General features: G+C 53.8%; 1 protein-coding gene across 11 annotated transcripts, besides 2 other annotated features; it reads right to left on the reverse strand.

The window, feature by feature from the left end:
* On the reverse strand, positions 129-26,196 carry BAIAP2L2 (BAR/IMD domain containing adaptor protein 2 like 2). Of its 11 annotated transcripts, none has more exons than XM_005261751.5 (15): positions 26,156-26,196; positions 25,704-25,881; positions 24,362-24,437; positions 23,484-23,570; positions 23,081-23,142; positions 13,640-13,711; positions 13,292-13,408; positions 12,261-12,407; positions 4,751-4,903; positions 4,325-4,460; positions 3,977-4,193; positions 2,353-2,493; positions 1,471-1,678; positions 915-961; positions 129-604 (listed from the first exon to the last, which is right to left on the reverse strand). In XM_005261751.5, exons 2-15 carry the CDS (start codon positions 25,752-25,754, stop codon positions 529-531), a joined length of 1,590 nt encoding a protein of 529 aa, XP_005261808.1. In that variant the 5' UTR covers positions 25,755-25,881; positions 26,156-26,196; the 3' UTR covers positions 129-528. The 11 variants fall into 11 exon arrangements, with proteins under 11 accessions (XP_005261808.1, XP_011528681.1, NP_079321.3 ...); XM_011530379.4 differs by lacking the exon at positions 26,156-26,196 and having other exon boundaries at positions 1,471-1,576; positions 1,619-1,678; positions 25,704-25,913; NM_025045.6 differs by lacking the exon at positions 26,156-26,196 and having other exon boundaries at positions 25,704-25,913.
* Positions 1,239-2,018: an enhancer, noted in NCBI's record as "H3K27ac-H3K4me1 hESC enhancer chr22:38482017-38482796 (GRCh37/hg19 assembly coordinates)". NCBI's record gives its function as "activates a minimal SCP1, AML or CMV promoter by ChIP-STARR-seq in naive H9 embryonic stem cells {active_cell/tissue: H9 hESC(naive)}" and the evidence as "EXISTENCE:reporter gene assay evidence [ECO:0000049][PMID:30033119]".
* Positions 13,561-14,115: an enhancer, noted in NCBI's record as "H3K4me1 hESC enhancer chr22:38494339-38494893 (GRCh37/hg19 assembly coordinates)". NCBI's record gives its function as "activates a minimal SCP1, AML or CMV promoter by ChIP-STARR-seq in naive H9 embryonic stem cells {active_cell/tissue: H9 hESC(naive)}" and the evidence as "EXISTENCE:reporter gene assay evidence [ECO:0000049][PMID:30033119]".

A 26,342-nucleotide genomic window follows, 5' to 3' on the forward strand; every position in this document is an offset into this window, starting at 1 on the left:
ATGGCTTCCCGGGGAACAGCCAGGACCTCAGTACCCCCTAGACCCCATTCTCCAATGGGGGAGTCTCTATCCCTCACCCCCTGCCCTGTCCCCCAAATAAGACACCACCAGTCCTGCTGCCGCATCACTTTGCGTCCACTTCCTTTATTTCTCATCATTTACAAAAGATGTACAGAGAGGGCATGTGTTGGGCACGGAGCAGGTACAAGGGGCTCCTCCCCACGGGGGCAGAAAAGGGGGAAAGAGGTTAGGGGGCAAGAGGTGGGCCCCCCAGGGAGAGTCCTGGAGCCCCTGGAGGGGGAGAAATTGTCCTGTCCCCCCATTCCGCCTGCTTTACTTTGAAGGTCTCGGACCCCAAGCCAGTGCTTTGGAGCTGCTCAGGCTGCCGGGGTGGTCTGGGGAGGGCAGCCACCCCCCGTCTCAGGGACCCGCTTCTTGGATCTGCTGCTGTTGCTGCTGTCGCTGCCATTGCCAGCTCTGAACAGCCCCTGGGCAGGTGCACTGTGGGGTACGACCTCGGACCCCGCCTCAGCGGATGAGGGGTGCTGAGCGGTCATTGGTGATGGTGGGACGAAGCTTGACAGTGGCAAAAGGATTTGTGCCCCTGTAGGAGGAGAGAGAGAATGGGGTGAGAAGGGCAGATGATCCCCACCTGGCCATGGCTCAGGAAGGCAGCTGGGCAACTGAGCTGGGTCCTGCCTCCTGCCCCTATTTGGTCTCCATCCACTCCTTGCCCCGCTTCATCTTTTTTTTTCTTTTAAGAGATAGGGTCTCACAGTGTTGCTCAAGCTGATGTTGAACTGTTGGAATCAAGAGATCCTCCTGCCCCAGTCTCCCTAGTAGCTGGGACTACAAGTGTGTGCCGCCGCACCTGCCACCCTCCTCACTGTTTGGGCCCCCATGTGAGGACTCACCTCGGGAAGAGCTCCTGTGGTGGGTACTGCTCTGAGGACATCAGTTTCTGCAGTGGGGGTGGGGAAGGGCTGGTTTGGTGGGGAGAGGGGCAAGCAATCCCTTGCTCCTCCCCTCCCTCTCCCCATGCCCAAGGGCAGAGGACTGGGCCAGAGAGCCCCTGCCATGCCAGGCTCCTGGAAAATGAGACCCTGACGTTCTGAAGCCCAGAATTCTGTGGGTTGCAGAAGTGAGAAACCCCTAGGCCAGAGCACCACCTCCAAGGACTAACCACGCCCCCAGGATAAGACCGGGGTGGCTCCATCGGAGATGCCCTCCCTGGCCTCCCCCAGCCCCGTCCTACTGGCTAGCCCCAGGCCACACCCTGTCCTGGGACCCTGGTCTTCCCCTTCAGCCCAGACTCAGCCCCACACCACCCCTCCCTGCACTGAGGAACAGACTGAGTGAGGCCAGGTAGGCGGGTCCCCTGCCAGACAGCCGGTGACAGAGCCTCGGGATCCCTGCTCTCCTGCCTCCCTGCCCGCTGGAGGCCCCAAGAGAGGGCGGGCAAGGGCTCACCTTGACGTCAGTGGCAACTGCTGTGCTGCCCATGCTGCTGCGGCGGCTGCTGGGCAAGGGTGGAGGTGCAGGGCTGGGGGCACGGCTTGGCACCCGGCTTGGGGTGCGGGAGCGGGACTGGCCATCCCAGTACTCCGAGGGTGCTATGGAGTTGCCCGGCCGGTCCAGGAGGTCATCGAGGCTGTGGCTGCCCCGGAGTGGGTAGGACCTAAGTCCAGAGAAAGGAGGGGGAAGGAAAGGGGTTGGGGCCTGTCCAATCCCTTGTCCTGCCAGTAGCTGGGGCACCTTAGGCAGGAGGCATCCGACAGCTTCCTCCCCGCACCTGCATGAAAGGAGACTGTTGACCGGAGGGAGGTCCTGAGAGGAGGCAGAGGGATGGACGCAGTGACCTTCAGGGCAGAGAGAGGGGCTCAGGGCCGGTGGTTCTCCAGGGGCTGAAGGGGGCTGGGCCCACTCAAGACTGCACCTTGCCACCTGGGTGCAGTGACTCACGCCTGTAATCCCAGCACTTTGGGAGACCGAGGTGGGTGGATCACCTGAGGTCAGGAGTTCAAGACCAGCCTGGCCAACATAGTGAAACCCTGTCTCTACTAAAAATACAAAAAGTAGCCAGGTGTGGTGGTGTGTGCCTGTAATCCCAGCTACTCAGGAGGCTCAGGCAGGAGAATCGCTTGAATGCAGGAGGCAGAGGTTGCAGTGAGCCAAGATGGCGCCACTGCACTCCAGCCTGGGTGACAGGGTGAGACTCTGTCTCAAAAAAAAAAAAACAAAACAAAACAAAAAAACAAAAAAACAAGCCTGCACCTTGCAGATCCTCTCCGCTGGGCAGTGACACCCTTGCCGGCGTCCTCACCCCCGCCCCACCCCTGATGACTCAGGTACCTGGAAGGCAGCTCGTTCCCGGGGTTCATGGGTGTCATGGGGGACATGGAGGTCATGGAGGTCATGGGGGTCACGGGGGTCATGGGATTCACGGGCCCCTCCTCCAGAGCCTTCACGTACGCCTCGGGGAACCAACCGCTCCTGTGGGGTAGAGGCAGAGGACAATGACCAAAAGAAGCCAGGCCTGGGGACAATGACCAAAAGAAGACATCCTCCCCTCAGGGTCACTGGAAGCTACTTCACCTCGAATTGACAGACTACAATCAATTCCGTATGTTTACTTCTGTTTTCACCTGCAAGTGCCTACTGATAATAACACACGCTATCCTTTTCCCTAACAGGCTATGTGAGTCAAGGATGGAACGATGGTCCCAGAACATCCCAGGAGGGTGTGACAGCCTCCATCTAGAAGGTTCTATCCTCAGGTCCCCAAGGCATCTGCAGCACACCGTCCTCTGCTGTGGGTCTGTGAAGCAGCCACTCCAGCAGCAGGTGTCCCTATCGTTGGCGTTCTCAGTCATCTCTCTCCCCACTGACCCCCTTCCGTTCCTGTCCCTGTGGTCACCCGCCCAGCTATGGACCTTCGCGCCTAACTATGAGTCCCTCCATACATCACCTATCCCCCACTCACCTGTCTATACTCCATCCCCCGTGTAGCCACGAATCCATCCAGCACCCCCTCACCACTCACACCTCTCCAATCACCCATCAGTGTCTGTCCACCACATCTGCGCATCCTCCCATGTCCCTAACCACCCAGTCAGTGACCCCCCCCCCGCCATTTAAGGCCATCCACTTGCACACACAGACCTCCACCTACCCAGACGCACATCCCCTGGTCCACCCATTCGCCTGTCCACCATCCATTAAGCACAGGACCACTCATCCATCCGTGGGCTGGTGTGGGCAGCCACCACCCGCTCTGCCCATGCACGCATTCATCCTGCGCTGCTTCTCTCCTGCAGCAGGAGTGGGCACCGTACACTACCCTGCCCATGAAGCCCCGAGGGGGCACTGCCTGGCTCCAGCCAGCCCCATCTGCCCCGTTTTCCCCTGCAGGACAGTGGTGCCTGTCCATTCCCTCTGCTAGCTGCCAGCCCTGCTGTCCTCCGCACTTTCTGGCAACCTCACTGTATGAAACTCCCCAAATCCTCCTCCACGTCAAGTGTCAAAACAGCCCAGTTTAAGTGCTTTCAGGATTTCCACGGAGCCTGACCGCAAAGAGGTGAGCACATTTAAGCCCCTACTCCCAGCCCAGCCCCCTGCATCAGAGTTCCAGGGCTGACTCTGCAGAGGGGAAGCAGCCTCCTCCCAGAGGCAGGCACACAGTAGGTGCTCAAGCAATAGGATTTCTGCCATTTCCACACTTTTGGAAGAACCTGCCCATCCCCCATCCTCTGCCCGCTCTCAAGGACCGTCATCCTGAACTTGGTAAGGCGGCTCTTCCTACTCCCACTGAATGAATGAGGAAACTGAGGCAGGGTGCGGGGGTCGGGAGGAGAGGAGCATTGTCCGAGGCCCCCGGGGGAGGCCAGGGAAACCTCAGTCCGGCAGGTCCCCGGGTTCCCGGCCCCCAGGGCCTTCTTCTCAACCCACCCCCGGCCCCTCCAAGGCTCCCACTCACGCGGACGAGCCCTCCAGCTTGCCGTAGAGCCAGCCGTTCTGGGCCTCGGGCACCAACACCTCCACCACGTCCCCAGCGGAGAAGCGCAGCAGCGTGTGGTTGGCGCCCTCCGAGTGGGAGACCAGGGCGCGGACTCTCCTGGCGCCCCCGCCGCCGCCCGGGCGCTCGCCAAAGGAGTTGGAGCGCGAGCTTTGGGCGCTGCCGCTGTAGAGCGAGGCTGTGGGCGGGAGAGCGCGGCGGCACGTGGGCAGGAAGTTCTTCCTGGCGTCTGCCCTCGATCCCTCCTGCTGCAGCCCCACCCCCGCGCCTCTCCCGGCCCTCCTGCCGCCCCGGGGCGGGGGCACTCACAGGCCGACGGCGTGCGGGGCAGGGAGCGACGGTCTGGCTCTAGCTGGGACGCGGGCCTCGCGTCGGGCTCGGTGCCGTAGGAGCCGGAGCCGTGCCGGCTGCGGGGGGAGCTGAACTCTCCCAGGGGCCTCGGGGGCTGCGGGGGAGATGGGCAGGGGAGGGTGGGGCGGGGGGGGGGGGGGGCGGGGCCGCGCCCTAGTCCAGCCCCCACCCCCAGTCCCAGGCGTCGGCGTAGGGGTTCTGGGGGCGGAGACCGGGCCACCACGGGGGCGCGGAGAACGCGCCGGGGCGGAAGGGCAGGCCGGGGGATGCAGCGTAGAGCGGGAGCCTGGGGGGCAGGAGGCTCCAGGCTGGGGGCCTGAGGCCCCGGGCCCCCGCGGGGGGCGGCGGGGGCGCGAACGGCGGCGGGGGCGCCCAGGGCCTCACCATGTCCAGGCAGGTGGGCGTCAGGCGGCCCGAGGGGTAGGGCGGCCCCAGCGCGGGGCCCAGCAGGCCGGGGGAGTGGGCGCGCGACGGGCTGCGGCTGGCCTCAGACTGCTCCTTCCACAGCAGCACGCGGTTCTGGAGCATCCCCCGGGCCTGGCCGGGCGGGGACACGGGGGTCAGCCAGGTCCGGGCGGCTCCCTGAATCCTGGGGACCCAAAATGACACCCTCGACCTGAGAGCTCAGGCCCTACCAGCTCGGGACGACCGGATTTTCTAGCTGGAAGGAGCCAGAAGCCAGCTCACCGTCCAACCCGCACCCTCTACTTTTGGCAAAGGCACCTCCATTTTCCACGAAGAGCTTCCTCTGACCCCCCGCTTCCCGCGTCAATGTGTGTGCTTTGAGCGGGGCTGTCCTCACCGCCCAGCTTCAGGGGTAGGGGTGGCACCCAGGCCTGGCCACTCAATCACCCCATCCTCCTTCCTGCAGCGATAGGCTCAGGAATGGCGCTTAGATAGAAACTACGACCAAAGAACCCAGTCCCATTACTTACTTACCCAGTAACACTATGGAAAATGCATTTTTTTTTTTTTTTTTTTTTTTTTTTTTTAGACGGAGTCTGGCTCTGTCGCCCAGGCTGGAGTGCAATGGCGCGATCTCGGCTCACTGCAAGCTCCGCCTCCCGGGTTCATGCCATTCTCCTTCCTCAGCCTCCCGAGTAGCTGGGATTACAGGCGCCTGCCACCATGCCCAGCTAATTTTTGTATTTTTAGTAGAGACGGGGTTTCACCATGTTGGCCAGGCTGGTCTCAAACTCCTGACCTCAGGTGATCTGCCTGCCCTCGGACTCCCAAAGTGCTGGGATTACAGGCGTGAGCCACCGAGCCTGGCCTAAAACTTCTTTCAATGGCACTGACCTTTCTGTGTTGTCACTCAGTCATAATAAAATCCCAGGTACAATCAGAATGCTGCATTCTCCAGCCATAAAGATCGCTCCCTCTTTTCAAACATCCCTGTCCCTCAAGGCCTAGCTCAAGACGGTCACCTTAAGAAAAGCTCCCTTTGTCGAGCAGTGACTCCATACCAGGCCCTGCTTTAAACGCTTTATCTGCATTATCTTACTTGATTCTCGCAATAGCCCTGGGTGGTAGGTGCAATTATTATCTCCAGTTTATAAAAGAAGATACTGAGGGTCAGAGAAGTTAAGTGACTGGCTCAAGGTGTCACATTCAGTAAGCGTTGAAGGGGTCTGTGTTGGTCTGTCCTTGAAGATGCCCCCTACGACTACACTTTCAATGATTTCTGCCTTGAACCTGGCCCCATGACTAAAAACCTCACGTCAAACTCAGGCAGCAATAACGGGAAGGCTTGGTGCCTCCCATCACTGGAGCAACTAGTCTAGCTGGTCACTAAGTGGACAGCCCCTCTGTTTCCCTGCAGTAACTAATTAGCAGAATAGCACAAAGATAAAACCCGAAGGCCTTTGTGCAGAAGTTTCAGAGACATAAGCAAAGTGAGAGCATTAGGTTCTGCATATCTTTCTTGTTGTTGTTGTTGAGACAGAGTCTCGCTCTGTTGCCCAGGCTGGAGTGCAGTGGCACGATCTTGGCTCACTGCAACCTCCGCCTCCCGGCTTCAAGTGATTATTCTGCCTCAGCTTCCCAAGTAACTGGGACTACAGGCGTGCGCCACCACTCCTGGCTAATTTTTGTATTTTTAGTAGAGACAGGGTTTCACCATATAGGCCAGGCTGGTCTCAAAGTCCTCAACTCGTGATCCACCCGCCTTAGCCTCACAAAGTGCTGGGATTACAGGTGTGAGCCACTGCACCCAGTCACATGTCGTATTTTAAAAGGGATTTAAAAGTATCATTGGATTGTTTGTAACACGAAGGATAAATGCTTGAGGGGATGGATACCCATTCTCCAGCATGTCATGATTACACATTGCATGCCTGTATCAAAACACCTCATGTACCCCATAAATATATACACCTACTATGTACCACAAAAATTAAAATAAATGGTGGGTGAGAAGAAACACTGCATACGGTTTCAAAACCATCAGAGAGGCCATGGGAAAAATTTTAAAAATATATTTACGAAGTGAAACAGCCATTCTAAGTATGACACCAAACCCATAAACTTGAAAAGACCGATACATTTTACTAAATAAAAATAATGTTTTTGTATAGCAAAACCAATCATAACACAGGCAAATGATAATGGCAAACTGGCTATTGTATTTGCAACTCATCACCAAGAAAAAGCTGGTTTCAGTAACATATCAAGAGCTCCTACAAATTAATAAGTGGATGAAAAGATACTGGCATGTCACAGCACAGAAAATCCAATGGCTTTGAAACATGAAAAGATGTCAAGCTCGCGTTTAAGACAAGTATGAGGTAAAGCCACACCGAGATACCATTTTTACCTTTCTAATTAGCCAAGATCAGAAAGTTTGCTCATACACTGTTGTCAAGGGGTGCAGAAGCACAGAAACTCATACATCACTGATGGAAGTGTAAACTGGTGCAACCAATGACTATATTCTTGGGCTTACCAATTCCACTTCTAGGAATTTATCCTGGAGATACATTTGCACAGCTGCAGTAAACGAGAGAAGCTAAGGATGAGGTGGGAAGGCACGTTACTGACTAGACTTGGACTAAGCAAAGACTAATTAGCGAAGATGAATAAGAAAGACAATTTACCGTGCCCGGGCACCTAGAGTTCTTTAAATCTTATTCTAAGGCTGCCTTCTTTTTTTGAGAGAGAGAGCGAGCCTTGCTCTGTTGCCCAGGCTGGAGTGCAGTGGCGCAATCTCGGCTCACTGCAACCTCTGCCTCCCGGGTTCAAGCCATCCTCGTGCCTCAGCCTCCCGAGTAGCTGTGATTACAGTCATCCGCCACCATTCCTGACTAATTTTTGTATTTTTAGTAGAGACGGGGTTTCACCATGTTGGCCAGGCTGGTCTTGAACTCCTGATCTCAGGTGATCCACCCACCTCGACCTCCCAAAGTGCTGGGATTACAGACATGAGCCACCACGCCCACCCCAAATGTGCCTTCTACTTATAAATAGAACAAGAAGTAAATATATATGCTTAGCTATCTTAGGAGTTAGATCTTGGATGTTTTAAAGTCCAGCTGGGTCAGACAACATGTTACTTGCTCCCTATGTGATATGGTTTGGATATTTGTCCTCTCTAAATTTCATCTTGAAATCTGACCCCCCAGTGTTGGAGGTGGGATCTAGTGGGAGGTGATGGGGGCAGCTCCCTCATAAATGGCTTGGTGCTGTACCCCACGGTAATGAGTGGTATGAGTTCATGCAAGATCTCCTTGTTTAAAAGATTGCAGTGGCCGGGCGCGGTGGCTCACACCTTAATTCCAGCACTTTGGGAGGCCGAGGTGGGTGGGTGGATCACCTGAGGTCAGGAGTTCAAGACCAGCCTGGCCAACATGGTGAAACCCCGTCTCTACTAAAAATACAAAAATTAACGGGCATGGTGGTGCATGCCTGTAATCCCAGCTACTCAGGAGGCTGAGGCAGGAGAATCGCTTGAACCCAGGAGGTGGAGGTTGCAGTGAGCTGAGATCATGCCACTGCACTCCAGCCTGAGCAACAAGAGCAGAACTCCATCTTAAAATAAAAAGAAAAAAGAAAGAGTGTGGCACCCCACCGGCTCCCTCTCTGGCCATGTGATATGAACTTCCCCTTTGCCTTCTGCCATGATTGTAAGCTTCTAGAGGCTTCGCCAGGAGCAGATGCGGGCAATGCACTTCTTGTACAGCCTGCAGAACTGAGAGCCAAATAAACATCTTTTAAAATAAATTACCCAGCCTCAGGTATTCCTTTATAGCAATGCACAACGGACTAACACACCATGCATAGGGGAAAATCTGCCTGTTCAACCCACAGCTCCCTCCTGAGGGACCCTCACCCACGAGGAGGCAGTCAAGGAGGGGGTCAGCTCTTCTCTTAATGTTGATGGTTAACTATTTACAGGCAAAAAGGAGTTTAACACAGGTGAAAAAGAGTTTCCTTCCAAAGAAGATCTATAAATAGCTAAGAAGCACAGGAAAACATGTTTAACATCACTAGCCATCTGGGAACCGGAAATCAATATTGCAATCAGATATCGCTTCACACCTGCTAGGATGGCTATTATCAAAAAGACAGTAACAAATAGTAGCGAGGACGTGAAACAACTGGAACCCTCATAAACTGCTGATGGACACGGAAACACTCCGGAAAACGGTCTGGAAGTTCCACAAACAGTTAAACATAGAGTTACCATATGGCCCCACAATTCTACTCTTATATACCCAAGAGAGATGAAAACATATGTCCACATGAAGACTCGTACATGGATGCTCAGCGCAGCAGTGGTCATGACAGCCAAAGAGTGGAAACAACCAGGCGTCCATCAGCTAACATCTGAGTAAATACATCGAGTAAACGAGTAAATACAATGTGGTGTATCCAAGCAATGGAATATTATCCAGCAGTGAAAAGGAAGCCAGTCGCAAAAGAGCACACACATTGTATGATTCTGTTTATATGAAATGTCCAGAATGGGCAAATGTATTGAGACAGAAAGTAGATTCCTGGTGGCCTGGGGCTGGGGGAGTGGGAGGATTGGGAATGACAGCTAAGGGGTACCGGTTTGTATTTTTTTTTTGAGACGGAATTTCGCTCTTGTCCAGGCCGGAGTGCAGTGGTGCAATCTTGGCTCACTGCAACCTCCACCTCCTGGGTTCAAGCAGTTCTCCTGTCTCAGCCTCCTGTGTAGCTGGGATTACAGGCATGTACAACCACGCTTGGCTAACTTTTGTATTTTTAGTAGAGACGGGTTTTCACCATGTTGGCCAGGGTGGCCTCGAACTCCTGTCCTCAGGTGATCCACCCGCCTCGGCCTCCCACAGTGCTGGGATTACAGGTGTGAGCCACCGCGCCTGGCCGAGGTACTGGGTTACTGTGGTGGAGGGTATTGAAAATATTTTAAGCTTGATAGTGGTGATGGATGCATGACTCTGTGAATATACTACAAACCAGAAAGTGTACACTGTAAATGGGTGAATCGTATGTGAATTATATCTCAATAAAACTGTTTTTCAAAAAAGGAAGTTGTTTCTCCCTGGCAGACCTTTTGTGGGATAGCAGGGGACGAGAAGGCTGAGCCTGGGGCCGGGTGAGGCGGTGACAGTGGGCAGATGAGAGCCTGAGCCGAAATCTGGGTCTTTGGATCCAGTCATGTATCCCTGGGCCCGTGGGTTCAGATCCAGAGACTCGGGGAGGGCGTGGGAGGCGTGGGAGGCGTGGGAGGGATAAGAACCCCAAGCCAGGACCGGGCGTGGTGGCTCATGCCTGTAATGCCAGCACTTTGGGAGGCCGAGGCAGGTGGATCACCTGAGGTCAGGAGTTCGAGACCACCCTGGCCAACATGGTGAAACCCTGTCTCTACTAAAAATACAAAAATTAGCTGGGCATGGTGGCGCACACCTGTAATCCCAGCACTTGGGAGGCTGAGGCAGGAGAATCACTTGAACCTGGGAGGTGGAGGTTGCAGGGAGCTGAGATTGCGCCACTGCACTCCAGCCTGGGCAACAGAGCAAGACTCCGTCTCAAAATAAATAAATACATACACACATAAATAAAATCAGTTTATCAAAATACAAGGGTCATGCTGCAGAGATGACTAGTGAGGTCTGAAACTAAGTCCTAAACTATCTTGGCAAAACCAGGAAGTGGAGGATGGGAAGGATGAAGACAGGAGTAAAAGCTTTCCAAAGGCCCCACCTCAGAATAGTTGGAGGGCAGGAAAATACTTCTTAAGGTATTATCTCATCTTTTTTTTTGAGACTTAGTCTCACTCTGTCGCCCAGACTGGAGTGCAGTGGCTTGATTTTGGCTCACTACAACTTCTGCCTCCCAGGTTCAAGCAATGCTCCTGCCTCAGCCTCCTGAGTAGCTGGGATTACAAGTGCCTGCCACCACGCCCAGCTAATTTTTGTATTTTTAGTAGAAACGGGGTTTCGCCATGTTGGCCAGGCTGGTCTCGAACTCCTGACCTCAAGCGATCCACCCACCTCGCGCTCCCAAAGTGTTGGGGTTACTGGTGTGAGCCACCGCGCCCAGCCTAATTTTTGTGGAAAGCTTTAAATCAAGGTCTCATCTTATGAATTGGCGGAGCGATGGACTGAACAGTGTGTGTCTGTAGTAGGGTGAAGTTGGCATTTTTGGAAAATAGGTGGATATATATGTGATTATGAAAGTCACAAAGTGAGGTCACCACAGGTAGAGAGAAAAAAATAGTGCAATTTCTAAATTAATAAAGGGAAAAGGGGAATGTATAGTATAATAACTCAACCAAACTGACAAGAAATAGTGTGGGAGAAAAAGAGGAAATGACAAAGTAAATACAGTTAGCTCAAGTTATCTAAAAGGAATAAAACCCAGGTATCTTCATTATTATGTTAAATGGGAATGGGCTGAATTCCTTTTCTATTAGAAGACACAGACTGTAAGACTGGTCAAAAACTCAAAAGTCAGTAACAGAAAGTATACTTAACATACAAAGAGATAAGCAAAGAGAAGAGAAAATAGAGCAGTATTAATATCAGACAAGGCGGAATTAAAAGCATCAAACTTAAGAGAGACATTAAGTACATAAATGGCAATATTTACAAAGAAGGTAGAATAGTTATAGCCAAAAAACGCCAAACAACATGGCAGCTCAATTCAGAAAGTGAAATCTATTAGAAATCCAATGAGAGATGAGAGAGTCTGACTAGTCTAGCAGACAGAACAATGCAAGAGCATAGAGGATTTAAATAATATGATAAAATGGCTGGGTATGGTAGCTCATGCCTGTAATCGCAGCACTTTGGGAGGCCGAAGCAGGCAGATCGCTTGAGGTCAGGAGTTTGAGATCAGCCTGGCCAACATGGCGAAACCCCGTCTCTACTAAAAATACAAAAATTAGCCGGGCGTGATAGCACATGCCTGTAGTCCCAGCTACTCGGGAGGCTGAGGCAGGAGAATCGCTTGAACCCGGGAGGGAGAGGTTGCAGTGAGCCGAGATTGTGCCGTTGCACTCCAGCCTGGGCAACAAGAGTGAAACTCTGTCTCAAAAAATAAATAAATAAATAATATGATAAAATTAATAGACGATAACTGAGCACACCTATCAATGAATTTGTGAATTGTGAGAATATACAAACAGGAATTAAAAAATGGTCCACACATGAATAAATAAATGCATGAATTCGTGAATGCATTAAAAACAAACAATATCACGAGTGAATAAATGAGTGAATATACAGTGATACAAGCAAACCCAGAAACAAAGGAAGAAATGGATGGAGATAGCAAAATAAAATGAATTTCTACAGACAGGCAGGCAGGGAGGGAAGAGGGAAGAAGGGAGGGAAACCTCTATGTACGGCCACTCAGGAGGGGGCAGCTCCTAGAAGCGCCCCGCTTGCTGCCCCCCAGTCCAACTCACCCGGCCGAAGAACTGCAGGAAGGTGTTGGAAAGTAGCAGGTGCTTCTCTGCTAGGAAGCGATAGCGCCGCTTCTCTTCCAATTCAGCCGCCCGCTGACTCTCAGACACGAAGGCCTGCATCTGTGCGTGCAGCCGGTTCACACTCTCCTGGGGGGGAACGGGAGTTCTGGCTGGGGGCGGTGGGTGTGTCTCATCCCACCCCCCTCGCCCACAGGCGCCAGCTGTTCAAGCCCCCTGTTCTTCCTGACTGCCCTCTCCCCAAGCCCACCCCCCATCACCCGGCCCATCCTAGCTCCTGAGCCTGCCCCATCATCAGCAGCCTTGTTATGAGTCTGGGCCCTGCGTCTCCCTCTCCCAGGTGCTTCTCACAAGCAGGGCTGCTGTCTGAGCCTTCGCTCTGTCCCTGGCACCCAGCACAAGCCCAAGCACGGGCTGGGGGGGCAGGGGGACGGGTTTAATGAGAATATGAATGAGTAGGTTAATAGCCCCTACTTGGGGGGAAGATTCTGAGGAGGGGAGGCGTGAGCTCACTTAAAGGAGCCAGAAGAGACGGGAAGGGAGGCAGAGGGTTAATCCATGGGTTTGGATCTTGGAGACAGAGGCCAGGGATGGGGCCCCAGGCTCAGGAAGGGGAATGGCCCTAGCCGGGGGCGGGATACCTCTGCCAGGCAGGAGAGAGGGGAGGAGGATGGGCGGCTGGTGGATGACACCTTTGGCACCATGTTCAAGCGAGCAATTTTCTCGGTGAAGTAGGAGATGGGGGAGGTGGGATGGGTTTGCAGGAGAGGCCCGGGGATTCTGGGTAAGGCCAGTAAGCCACAGGGCAAGGGGCGGTGCTGGGCGTGGCCCTAGGAGCTAGTTACGCCCACCCCACCAGGGGCTGGCTGACCTCCCCAGCCACGCTCATCACAGTTGGGCTGGTGCTCGGTGGGGGAGCTCAGGGAGGCGTTCGGGGTTCCCAGGGCCCGGTCTCGCCCCGAGGTCTGCCCACCCGCCCTTCCTGGCCCACCCCCGCTTCCCGGCCCTCGCACCTTCATCTCCCGCACGTTCTTGTCTCTCTTGCGCTCCATGCGCCACAGCTCAGACATGCACTTCTCCAGGTTGGCCGCTCGGTGGCGGTACTCGAGCTCATAGTGCTGGCGGCTGTCCTGGGGTAGGGTGGAGTCGGGGAGGGAGAATCCCCCCACATCAGAGAGCTCAAGACACCCCTCCCAGAGATCAGGGCCCTGGAAGTTTGGAGACTTGGGGCTCAGCTGGGAACATGGATAATCTGGGGCCCAGTCAGTGCTCAGCACTGGCCTGTGTGTGCCTACCTGTCAAATGGGAGAGGGGGTCCTGCCTGCAGTGAGTTGGGGGCCGAGTGGGGAGGCCAGACTCACTTTGATGAACTGCATGTCCAGCTTGGTGTTCTTCTCCATGTGCTGCAGCAGGCCTCCATGGAATGTCTGCACCTGAGCGGAGTGCAGGGTGAGGGTGATCAAGGCCCCCCTACTGTTCCCAGGCCCCAGCACCCCCTTGCACTTTCTGCTATAACAGACTGCCCATCGTGCTCCTAATATACCAGGCACCTGCCCACCTGTCAGAGAAACGGAGACAAGAACACCACCTGGCTGGAGGGAGGACGAAATGGTTAAACATTCACAATGTTTAGTGCAGTGCTGCCTGGAAACGAACCCTTGATAAGTGTGTCAGAGTCTTCTGGTTCTTATTTTTTGTCTTATTCTTAGTTTGTGCTTTGATGACATCATTCCCTCTGCCTGGAATTTCCTCCCTATCTTCCAGTGCCAGCTTCCTGTCTTCCTGACTTTCCCAAGCAGAATCCATTGCTCCCTCGTTTTGTCTCTGGAATGGGTGCACATTTGTTCCTTCGTTGTCCATTCCTCCAGTTGTATACAGAATTTATGGCCAGGGCCCCATGCATAGCCCCTTGGAGCTGCTATGGCCATGGCTCACCTCTGTGTCCTCAGCACCATGGGCAGGGCACAGCCCAGCAAAAACACTCAGAAGCTGTTGAGGTCTCAGATGGGCCTGGGAGGTGACAGGTTCCCATGGCAAGTGGATGTCTGGCCACCGGGGCAGGACAGGAAAGGCTGCTGGGCTCAGGCTCAGAAGCTTCGTCCTCATTCTAGTTCTGCCTCCTATTTGCTTTGTGACTTTGGACAAGTTGCCACCCATCTCTGGGCCTCAGTTGCCCCATCTGTAACAGGAAAGGCTTGACCAGCCTGGGCATGGTGGCTTACGCCTGTAATCCCAGCACTTTGGGAGGCTGAGGTGGGTGGATCACCTGAGGCCAGGAGTTCGAGACCAGCCTGGCCAACATGGTGAAACCCCATCTCTACTAAAAATGCAAAAATCAGCCAGGCATGGTGGTGCGTGCCTGTAATCCCAGCTACTCAGGAGGCTGAGGCAGGAGAATCACTTGAACCAGGGAGGCGGAGGTTGTAGTGAGCGGAGATCACGCCACTGCACTCCAGCCTGGGTGACAGAGTGAAACTCTGTCTCAAAAGAAAAAAAAAAAGAAAAAGGAAAGGCTTGACCAGCTGCTCTCTGAGAGCTTGATGAGCTTCGATTCTGTGGGCCCAGGTGATGCCCTGGTACCCTGTATTCTCCATCAGCTTTCTCTGAGTCACTCCATGTTGTTGGGCAGTTGGACCTAAACCCTTCCAGCTGCAGGAGGGTTCAGGCTGCATGGGACACAAGAGGTGCTTCCCCAACCCCGCGGACACGTCCTCCTCTGGAGGCCCTCCCGCCTCTGCGCAGCCTCTGTCCACACACCCTTTTCCCACAGTGGGTCCTTCCTCCTGCTCTAGGTGTCCTCACATCATCCCACGGGGCTAGGGGATCGCCCAGAAAAGGAATGCTGGCAATCTCCTCCCAATATGCAGAAAAAAATCACTACATAATAAAATTTCTAAAGTTTAAGGTTTTCTCCCACAGTTATTTCCCAAACTTTGGTGCCCACTAGTCTGCAAGGGAGCTTGAGGGTGCCTCTTTGGTACTGAAACCCTGAGCTATGGCTGCCAGTGTGTGTGTAGAGAAGGGTGTCAGCACCAAGAAGGAAGTGGCACGTAGGTTTCCAGAGTGATACAACGGTGAACAGAAACGTGCGTTGTTATAGAAATGCCAGGTAGATGCTTCTGAGGGGCCGCTTTCCGCTGGATCCAATCAAAAGGAAGCCTTCCCGACCCTGCGCTAGTGTGAATGTCACAGCACTGCCTCCTTAAATTTTGTGAACTCAGGCCAGGCGTGGTGGCTCACACCTGCAATCCCAGCACTTTGGGAGGCCGAGCTTGTGACCAGCCTGGCCAACATGCTGAAACCCCGTCTCTACTAAAAATAAAAAAATCAGCTGGGCCTGGTGGCGGCTGCCTGTAATCCCAGCTACTCGGGAGGCTGAGGCAGGAGAATCGCTTGAACCCTAGGGGGCGGAGGTTGCAGTGAGCCGAGATCGCACCACTGCATGCCAGCCTGGGCAACAGAGTGGAACTCCGTCTCAATAAATAAATAAATAAATAAATAAATAAATAAATAAATAAATAAATAAAGCTTAGCACCTCCCCACTCTCTCTCTTGCTGTCTTGCCATGTGACGCACCTGTTACCCCTTCACCTTCCGCCATGATTGTAAGCCTCCTGAGGCCCTCATGAGAAGCTAAGTAGATGTTGGTGCCATGCTTGTACAGTTTGCAGAACCATGAGCCAAAATATACCTCTTTTCCTTATAAATTACCCAGTCTCAGGTATTCCTTGATAGTGACACAAACAGATTCATACAATGCAACAACATGAATTAATCTTACAGACCTTATGCTGAGTGAAAGAAGCTAGACACAAAAGAATATACAGGGCACAGTTCCACTCAAACGAAGCACTAGAACAGGCAAAATTCATCTGCAGAGATAGAAGTCAGAAAGCCTTTGCCCCTAGGGGGCGACACTGACAAAAGGGACATAAGAGAACTTTCTGGGTTGATGGAAACGTTCTAAATAAATCCTGTTTAACATGGTGGCCACACAGGGCATACAATTGTCAAAATCTGTTGAACTTAACACTCAACATATTTAGGAACTTCATCTTATTGTATGTAAACTTTACCTCAGTAGAAAAAAAAACTCAGGTCTGGGATGATGGTGGAAATAAAATGTAGTTTCAAAACCTTCCTTCATCTTCTCCTAAAAATGAATGGAGAAACCAGACAGCAAAATAAAAAACTTAAGACTAGCCAGGCACAGTGGCTCACACCTGTAATTCCAGCACTTTGGGAGGCTGAGGTGGGAGGATTGCTCGAGCCCAAGAGTTCCAGACCAGCCTGGGCAACATAGTAAGATGCTGTCTCTACATAAAAAAAAAAAAAAAAAAAAAAAAAAAAAGCCAGACGTGGTGGTTCATGCCTGTGGTCCTAGCTACTTGGGAGGCTGAGGTGAGAGGATTGCCCGAGCCCAGGAAGTCTAGGCTGCAATGAGCTGTGACTGCACCACTGTACTCCAGCCTGGGTGACACAGTGAGATCCTGTCTCAAAAAAAAAAAAAAAAAAAAAAAAAGTCCAGGCACAGTGGCTCATGCCTGTAATCACAGCACTTTGGAAGGCCAAGGTGTGTGGATCACCTGAGGTCAGGAGTTTGAGACCAGCCTGGCCAACATAGTGAAACCCCATCTCTACTAAAAGTACATAAATTAGCCGAGCATGGTGGCACGCGCCTATAATCCCAGCTATTTGGGAGGCTGAGGCAGGAGAATCGCTTGAACCCGGGAGGCAGAGGTTGCAGTGAGCTGAGATGGCGCCATTGCACTCCAGCCTGGGTGACAGAGCAAGATTCCGTCTCAAAAAACAAACAAACAAACAAAACAAAACAAACAAAACCACCAAAAGAAAAAAATAAACTCAAGACAACATTCAGAACAAAACTATGACAGTATATCTCTACAACCCTCCAAACAAAAATCAGCACCGGCTGTGAGGTCAGTGTGACCAGCATCCATGTGGATGGAGCAGTGGGAGGTAGCTGGGCGTTGAGGGACCTGAGCACAGGTGCACCCCGACATGGCCAGCAGATGGTCATGGGAAGCTCAGTAGGCCAGTCTGTGAACAGCAGCTGAAACTCCAAGGAGTTTGTGAGTCCAAAGGGTGAAGGTAAGAGGTCCCTGGTAAAGTCTGAAGGGGCTGGAGTAGTCGAGCCTCTAGGAAGTCTTGAAACTGACCAGCCAGGCTCCCATCCAGACAGGGCCCATGTGGAGGAGAGAATGCCGTGAGGAGGATCAAAATCAGGAACAAGGACAACAGACACAAAAGGAAAGAGAAAGTCTAACAAAAGTAGGAGCATGAACGGAACCAGGAAATTGCAGAAAGGGAGCTGCCATATTTTTGGAAAACTACATAAGAACAACAGAAAGAGATCTTGCAAAGTGAGAAGAGCTGTCTTGACTGTGCTCCTTTTACAATTTCAGGAAAAAACCTACTTTTCCACAGACAATCTCTGAGGTGAAATCCAATAGAAAGTTATTATTAGAAAAAAGAGAATATGGAAGAGAATAACATTCCTACTGACAACCAAAACACACCAGAAAGGCCCATGAAACAGAAGAAAATGAATCAATGGTCTAAAAGTGATCCTAGCACTTTGGGAGGCCCAGATGGGAGGACTGCTTGAGGCCAGGAGTTCAAGACCAGCCTGGGCAACATAGTGAGACCTCATCTCTATAAAAAGAGTTTAAAAATTATCCAGGCACGGCCGGGTGCGGTGGCTCACACCTGTAATCCCAGCACTCTGGGAGACCAAGGCGGGTGGATCACGAGGTCAGGATATCAAGACCATCCTGGCTAACACGGTGAAATCCCGTCTCTACTAAACATACCAAAAAAAAAAAATTAGCCCGGCATGGTGGCAGGCGCCTGTGGTCCCAGCTACTCGGGAGGCTGAGGCAGGAGAATGGCGTGAACCTGGGAGGCGGAGCTTGCAGTGAGCCGATATCACACCACTGCACTCCAGCCTGGGAGACAGAGTGACACTCCATCTCAAAATTAAAAAAAAAAAAAAATTAGCCAGGCACGGTGGCATTTTCTTATAGTCCCAGCTACTTGGGAGGCTGAGGCAGGAAGATCATTTGAGCCCAGGAGTTGGAGACTGCAATGAGCTATGATTGTACCACTGCACTTCAGCCTGGGTGACAGAGTGAGACTCTGCCTCTGAAAATAAATAAATAAATAAATAAGATGAATTTGTCCAGCAGCAATAGAAATAAAGAGACAGAGCGAGAGAATATGTGTTATATGTGTGTACACACACATTGCATATAAATATGTATCCATCTATGCGTTGCACAGCCACCAAAAAAGCCTAGAAACAAAGATCAAGCCAGTGGCAATGAGCACCACTAGTATTCAGATTATGGCTTTGAAATACCACTTGCACTAAAAACAAAAAGTAAAAACAGGGCTTCATGAAGAAATGGCTCATTCCATGTCTCACACAGCACAAGTAGCAGATAAGCCTGGAACCTCTTGTCAGGCAGATAGCAAGGACTCAGGAGGCAGATTAAAGAGGCTTCCAATGGCCAGGTGCAGTGGCTCACACCTATAATCCCAGAACTTTGGGAGGCTAAACTGGGCAGATCATCTGAGGTTAGGAGTTCGAGATCAGCCTGGCCAACAAGGTGAAACCCCGTCTCTACTAAAAATATGAACATTAGCTAGATGCAGTGTTGCATACCTGTAGTCCCAGCTACATGGGAGGCTGAGGCTGGAGAATTGCTTGAACCTGGGAGGCGGACGTTGCAGTGAGCCGAGATTGCATCACTGTACTCCAGCCTCGGTGACAGGGTGAGACTCCATGTCAAAAAAAAAAAAAAAAGAAGCTTCCACTGGCCAAAAATAGGACATTTTCAACTTCAGTAAACGTAATAATTGCCAACCATTGAAATAGGTCAAATGAGTTTAAATCTACGATATTGATTATAGTAAATAAAAGTACTACATAATGGTGTTAGTAAAAACATAAAGTTAATTGGTGGCTTCACCTTCAGAGGATGACAGGGCACAAATTCATTATCTTGGAACCTGATGAATAAAGGGAATGAATGAAACCTTTCTCCTGCCCTCTCCATATGAAACGTGCCAGTGGGTAATAATAGCAGATAAGGGGAAGGGTCTCTTTCTGGAAGCATCCTAGCTAAGAATGCTTTGAAAAGGCATGGGAGGAACAGTGGTGTGTATCCCCGGATGCATGGCAGATCTAGACACAGTGATGCCTCCTGGTGGAAGAACTCAGTAGCCCCTCTGGTCTTGCCAAGGGCAAGGCTCCGGATCCAGAGGACAGAGAAACCAGCTGAACATACTAGGAGAGCATCCTCAGCAACTTCCAGACTATGGGAAAGTCAGAGCAGATGGTCCCAGGGTCTCCAACAGACAAAGTGTAAGGAAAAGAAACAGACGGAAGGGGAACCCGGAGGTTCGAAGAGACTCAAATTTCTTTTTTTTTTTTTTTTTGAGACGGAGTATTGCTCTGTCGCCCAGGCTGGAGTGCAGTGGCGCGATCTCGGCTCACTGCAAGCTCCGCCTCCCGGGTTCACGCCATTCTCCTGCCTCAGCCTCCCGAGTAGCTGGGACTACAGGCGCCCACCACCATGCCCGGCTAATTGTTTTGTATTTTTAGTAAAGATGGGGTCTCACCGTGTTAGCCAGGATGGTCTTGATTTCCTGACCTCGTGATCCGCCTGCCTTGGCCTCCCAAAGTGCTGGGATTACAGGCGTGAGCCACCACACCCAGCCAAAAATTTTTTTTTTTTTAAGAGTGAAACCAAATTCTAGTGTCTCAGGCTGTAAGGTAGAGTGATAAACCACGAAGGCACACAAGGAAATGCGACCTCAGACCAGCGGCCGCTTTTAGAGGGAGGGAGAGGCTGTGGTTTTGATGGGGGCACCTGAAGGGGTTTCTGGGGAGGCTGGCAAAGTTCTGCATGGTAGTTTCAGGTCTGGTTTGCCTAATAATGATTCATTACGCTCTAATCTGTTCAGCAAGATTTTCTGTGCCTGTGTTTTAGTTTACAATAACAAACATTTTTTAAAACATTCTAAGTCAGATCCTGTCCCTCCTTGGCTCAAGACCCTCCGAAGGTGTCCCTTTCACTGAGAGGAAGGGCCAGAGTCCCGCCAGGGCCTGCAGAGTCAGGACCTGTTAATGGCTGGTCATCTGAGACTTGCCCTCTACTGCAGCCTTCGGTCTTTCCACAAGCTGTCCTTTCTGTCCAGATTGCCCTTCCCCCAGATGTATTCCTGGCTAATGCCCTTACCTCCTTCAGCCCTTTTTCTTTTCTTTTTTTTTTTTTTTTTTTTGAGACAGAGTCTCACCGTCACCCAGGCTGGAGTGCTGTGGTGCGATCTCTGCTCACTGCAACCTCCGCTTCCCAGGTTCAAGCGATTCTCCTGCCTCAGCCTCCCGAGTAGCTGGGATTACAGGCGCCCGCCACCACATGCGCGGCTAATTTTTTGTATTTTTAGTAGAGACAAGGTTTCACCATGTTGGCCAGGTTAGTCTCGAACTCCTGACCTCAGGTGATCCGCCCACCTCGGCCTCCCAAAGTGCTGGGATTACAAGCGTGAGCCACTGCGCCGGGACCTTTAGGCCTTTTTCAGTGTCACCTCGTCTGTTAAAAACTGCACCCCCCAAAGACATCCCCTCCCTGCTCTACTTTTCTCCTAGTGTATTTTGCATGGAACGTGTTACGTATCGATTCACTTACTCACTGTGGGTTTTTCTGGCTCCCTCTTTGGCATGGCAGGGGTTTTTGTCTGCTGTATTCCCGCGGCCTACCACAGTGCCTGGCACAGGGCAGTCAGTAGGGATCAAATAAATGAGCTGCAGGTGGGGGTGGCCTCTGGCACTGTTCTGTCTGGTATGATTCTGGCCAGTGGACCTGCCCAGTTATCACAGCTGAGATGCCACTGCCTGGAGAGGACAGCTCTCCTTACAGAGTGGGCCTGGGTGACACTCATCCCTGCCCAGCCCAGGTGTGCCACAAGTGACAAGGACAGCCATTGAACACAAGGACAGGAACCCACAGGCTCCATAACTCCGTGCCCACATCCAAGGGGGTGGCAGGGGCTTAATGCTACATCCTAAAGTGCCCAAGGAGTCCACGGAGCCCAGGGGCCTTGGGGCCTTGTTGTGTGTGCGTGGGATGTGCATTTACTAATAGAAAGATTGTTCCCCCGCCAGGCGCGGTGGCTCACGGCTGTAATCCCAGCACTTTGGGAGGCCGAGGCGGGCAGATCACTTGAGGTCAGGAGTTCAAGACCAGCCTGGCCAACATGGTGAAACCCCGTCTCTGCAAAAAAATAAAAAAATTAGCCAGGCATGATGACAGGTGCCTGTAATCCCAGCCGCTCGGGAGGCTGAGGCAGGGGAATGGCATGAACCCAGGAGGCGGAGGTTGCAGTGAGCTGAGATTGTGACACTGCACTCCAGCCTGGACGACAGAGCAAGACTCCGTCTCAAAAAAATTAAAAAAAAAAAAAAAAAAAAGATTGTTCCCCATGCCCAACTGACTAGTATTTTATGGTATCCCCCAAAGAGCACCCTGACTTCCAGGGGCTCCCCTTCACACATTGGAGGGAGAACAATTAGTTAAAATTTCCTTCCGAACCTTCCCACTTGCCTCACCACCAGGCCCCACCCCACCTCTCCCACTCAGCCCCTGCGCCCAAGCCCTGGCTCATGCCTGCCTGCTGCCCGCTCATGGCTGTGCGCAGCCCGCTGCCATGCTCCCTTGGAAAGCCCTCTCTTCTCTCCATCTAGCCAAGCTGACTCCCTCAGCTCTTTTCTTTCCCCTGTGTCACTGAAGCCCTGCTTGGCGGAAGGCCCTGGAGCTACGGAGAGGAAGGAAGGCTCTGCGGCGCTCCCAGTCTTGGGAGGGATAGGGGCAGGTGAGTTAACTTCTGGTTATCATAGCTAAGGTATCCAGGGGCAGTAAGTAGGGGCCAGGGCAAACGGTTTATGCTTATTAATTCACGTCATCCTCTCAAGAACCCTGGGAGGCAGTTATTATGATTCTCTCCATTCCTCAGATAGGTAAGTGGAGGCATAGAGTCCAAGGTCACAAAACTAGTCACTGGTGAAGCTGGGCTTTGAACCCACCACGAGCTAAGAACGGACAGAATCATCTGTTGGAGTCCAGGGGGAGGGGTGACTGGACTTGCCCCAGGGAGTCAGAGGAGGCTTTGGGAAGGAGGGGACAGCTGCTTCCCAACTGGACGGCAGGGGGAGGGACCGGTGGCTCTAGGCTGAGAGGACAGCAGGACAGCAGCCCCGCAGCGGGGACACCAGCAGAGGGCCCACTCTTCCGGGGGGCTGGGCTGTGTTGGGGGTGTCAGGAGAAGCTGCTGGATCGACAGAGCCAGGGACCCCTCACTGAGAAGCCTGTGTTCAGTTCTACGGGCAGTGGGGCCGTGGAACGGTTCTGCTCCTGGGAGTGACATGGTCAGGTCCATGTGGCTGCTCCCTGGGAGGCTGCAGTGAGGAGGGCTGCAGTGAAAGGACCTTTCTCTTCCTTGGGCCTCCATTCACTCTGGCATCTCAGGCAATGACTAGCTCTTTGAGACTCAGTTTCTTCCTCTATAAAATGGAGGCAGAAATGCCACCAGCCTCCTAGGGCTGCTAGAGGCTTGAACGACTATTGCAGGGAACCGTGCCCCACAGAGCCGGGTGCTGGGAAGGGCAGCCACGGTCATCCTCCCTGGGAAGGGCATCTGGTAGGCTGGGCCCTCTCCTTGGAACATAGCCCACTTTCCTCGAGTGACCCCTCCAGGCCCTGGGGCCTGATACTCACCACCACCTCCAGGTCAGAGTTCAAGTGCCGCTGGGTGTCAGACATCTGCACCAAGATCTCCCCTGGAGGCATGGATGCAGCTGTGGCTTTGGTGTGTGGCAGCCTGCCCCGCCCACCCACCACCCTCTTCCGCTGAAAGCCAACAGAGGGCCTGCCCGAGACTGGATTTTGGGACCAAAGTCCGGGAACTTCCCATATGGTTCTCTGGGAGCCAGGCCATGTGTGTCCCAGCCTGGGAGCAGCCCGGCAGGGAGTGGTGGCGGGGAGCCTGGGCCCCAGAACAAGAGTCTGGCTCTGGGCCCTGGGCTGAAAGGCCTGTGTCAGGGACTCGGGACATCCTGGAAGGGCAAGGGTGCAAAAGGAGGGCCCAAGAATGGGGTCTGCTGTGGAGGGGGAGCCTCACCCAGAATCTGTGAGGTGGGGCTCTGCAGGGCACGCTCCCCAATCTTCTGGATGGCACTGAAGTAGACCTCGGCCGCCTCGGACAGAGCTGTGGACCAGAAGGGACAGGTCTGGTCCAGCCCTGCCTCTGCCCCACCCTTCTGGAGGCTCTTTTCATCTGGAGGGGACTGTGTCTGTCCTGGGTGGGGTGTGGGCATCTGTGTGTGCCCCTGAGGAGGGTGTGACCAGTTGAGCTGTGAAACTCAGGTGCAGGGGCATAAGGTGAGGGCTGGGGGCAGGGAGGTGGCGTGGAAAGCATCTAAGAAGCAGGGGGATGGGAGGCCCTGAGGTTCAGGGTTGATCAGCACTGGTGGGTAGTGGGGTGCTATTGGCAGGTATGAGCGGCCACAGCGGACGGGTACAAGGGTTTGCACGGGGACCGAGTGAATGTCAAGGCCAGCTGCAGGGTGTGTGGGTGGTGGCCAGTTGAAGTGAGGAAGCCAGCTGCTGTGTGAGCCTGGGTGCAGAGGTGGGACTGAGTATAGGGGTGGGTTCAGCTGGTGGCATCCAGGTGACGCCTAGAAATGTATGCACTGTCAGGGGCTGCCCTGGGGCTGTGTGGGCCTGCAGGGCCTGGTACTGCATCATGGGAGTGTCTGGAGGCACCTGAAGGAGGGGGCAATGAGGGGTGCTGGGTGTGGACTGGGGTGCGTGGGCACAGGAGAGTGGGGGTGCATAAGGCCTCTCTGGCTGCAGAGGTGTGAGGGTGAGGGTGGTGGGTAGGAGGGTGTAGGGTTGAGGATGAACAGGTGTGGGATGCAGAGAATCTGGGAGGGGCCTGGGTGGGTGGGAACAGCAGAGGCCCAGGGCTGGGGCTCGGTGGCCCGGGCAGGCACTCACCGTGGAAGGCACGCAGGTAGTTGTTGCCCAGGTACACCAGGTTCTCCAGGGCGGGGTTAAACTGCTCCATGATGCTCTGGACCCCAGGGTCAGGGGAGGAAAAAGGTGTAGAGATGGGGGAGCGAGAAGGAACCACGGATGGAGTCAAGTCACCAGGCGTCAGGGACAGGGCACCCCCAGCCCAGTGAGAAGCCCCAGACTTTGGGGGGCCCATCTACAAACCTAGGCTCACCCAGAATCCTGGCTCTTGGCTGCAGGGACCTCAGAGCCCATCTTTTGGGGTCCTGTTCTAAGCTGTGGTCCCCTCACAGCCAGCTCCCGCTTACGTCTGCTCTGGCGGGACCGAGGTGCCTCCCGAGATGGTGCACCTGGAAGGTTCTCCTCCTCCCGCTGGGCAGAAGCTGGCCCGCCTGCTGTGGTCCCCACTGGGCACGGCTCAGCCCTGCCCTGTGTCCAGGCCTTGCCGGGCTACACGCCTGGGGCTGCCAACAGTCACCCCCGGGGCAAGGGCAGCTCTCGCCCTCCTCCGAGAACAGCCCCCCATGGGCAAGGCTGTGGCTGGATTAGTGTGGGCCTCCTCGGGCTGGGGCCGGGCAGAGAGCTCCCCGGATGGTGAAGACGGGCCTGGACTTGGGCCTGGACTTGGACTTGGGTCTCGGTTCAAATCCCAGCAGCACCTCTTCCTCCCTCCGTGACCTTGAATGAGCTGTTTAACCTCTTTGGTCTCAGTTTTCTCATCTATCAAGCAGGGTGGTCATTTTCCACCTCACAGGTGGGTGGTGTGAGGCCTCCAGGTGAAAGGGTCCTGCACACAGGAGGCGCTCAATAAATGTCTGTGGCGGCTGCAACAACCCCCCGGGGGTGAAGTAGGAAGTCTGAGGGGCTCAGAAATGAGAGAGACAGAGACAGGGAGAGACAGAGAGAGAGAGAGAGACAGAGAGAGAGAGAGACAGAGAGAGAGAGAGACAGAGAGAGGGAGAGAGAGAGGGAGAGAGAGAGAGAGAGAGAGAGAGAGAGGGAGAGACAGAGAGAGAGAGGGAGGGTCTTTCTTTATTCCCAGGCCGGGCAGCCAGGCCCTTCTCATCCAGACTCAACTCTCCCCACCCTGGGCCTTGGGCTCCCTCCTGCCTTGTCCAGCATCTGGGAGTTGGGGGTTCCCGCTGTATGGCTGAGTGCTCTCGGGGATCCTTACCCCCGTACCCACCCCTGGCCCAGCCTGGCTCCAGGCTTCCCTTTCCAGGACATCTGTAGCCCCGGCTGGCCCTCCGTCCTCCAGAGCGGGCCTGATTTCTGTGCCCTGGGAGGAGGGGCTCAGGCCTGGCTTGGCCACCCATGTGCTCACCTTGTAGATGGCCATGGTGGACCTGTAGAACTGGTCCATCTCGGGGGCCATGGAGGGGCTGTCCCGGGTCTGAGCAGGAGGCTGGGAGCTGGTGGCGATGGCACAGCCGGGAGCAGTGGTAGGTAGTCCCTCAGGTGCCCACGACTCAGCTGGCAGCGAGGAAGCCTCGGAGAGGGACCTGGAGATGGAGGCCTGCCTCAGAGGAGTGGCAGCTTAATTATTCACCAACTCGGGATGTCAGAATGTGATCTGGGGCGTAACCAGATCCGGCAGGGAAGGCATCCTGTGCCGGGCAGGCTCGTGTGACCTGCCCTTCAATTATTCACCCCTTGGAGCTGTGGGCTGATACAAGTGCCCATGTGGATGAGCCCCCTCCTGGGTCACCCCCTCCTCAAGGACCCCAACCCTGGGGGGCCCCGCCCTCCCACCTGCCTATACCAGGCATTGCCCACCTTACTGGGCGGGCGCTGCCCGATGCCCTCCCCCAGGACTCTCTCTGCCAGACCCAGCAGCAGCAGCCCCTGGAGGGGAACGCCGCTTTACTTCTCACTGTCCTCAGGCCTGCGGCTCACAGTGGGGCCACGCCCTCTGAGCTTGGCTCCCACAGCCGCTCTGGCCCGCCCAGCTCCTCCACTTGCC

Source organism: Homo sapiens, chromosome 22, assembly GCF_000001405.40.
Source record: "Homo sapiens chromosome 22, GRCh38.p14 Primary Assembly".
NCBI classification, from domain to species: domain Eukaryota; kingdom Metazoa; phylum Chordata; class Mammalia; order Primates; family Hominidae; genus Homo; species Homo sapiens.

Coding starts and splice junctions, on each gene's coding strand:
- BAIAP2L2 (XM_005261751.5), bottom strand. CDS start 25,754: ATGGCCCCCGAGATGGACCAGTTCTACAGGTCCACCATGGCCATCTAC. Junction 13,409..13,639: donor TGGACATGCAGTTCATCAAA/GTGAGTCTGGCC, acceptor ACCCTACCCCAG/GACAGCCGCCAGCACTATGA. Junction 962..1,470: donor CAGTTGCCACTGACGTCAAG/GTGAGCCCTTGC, acceptor CCCCCACTGCAG/AAACTGATGTCCTCAGAGCA.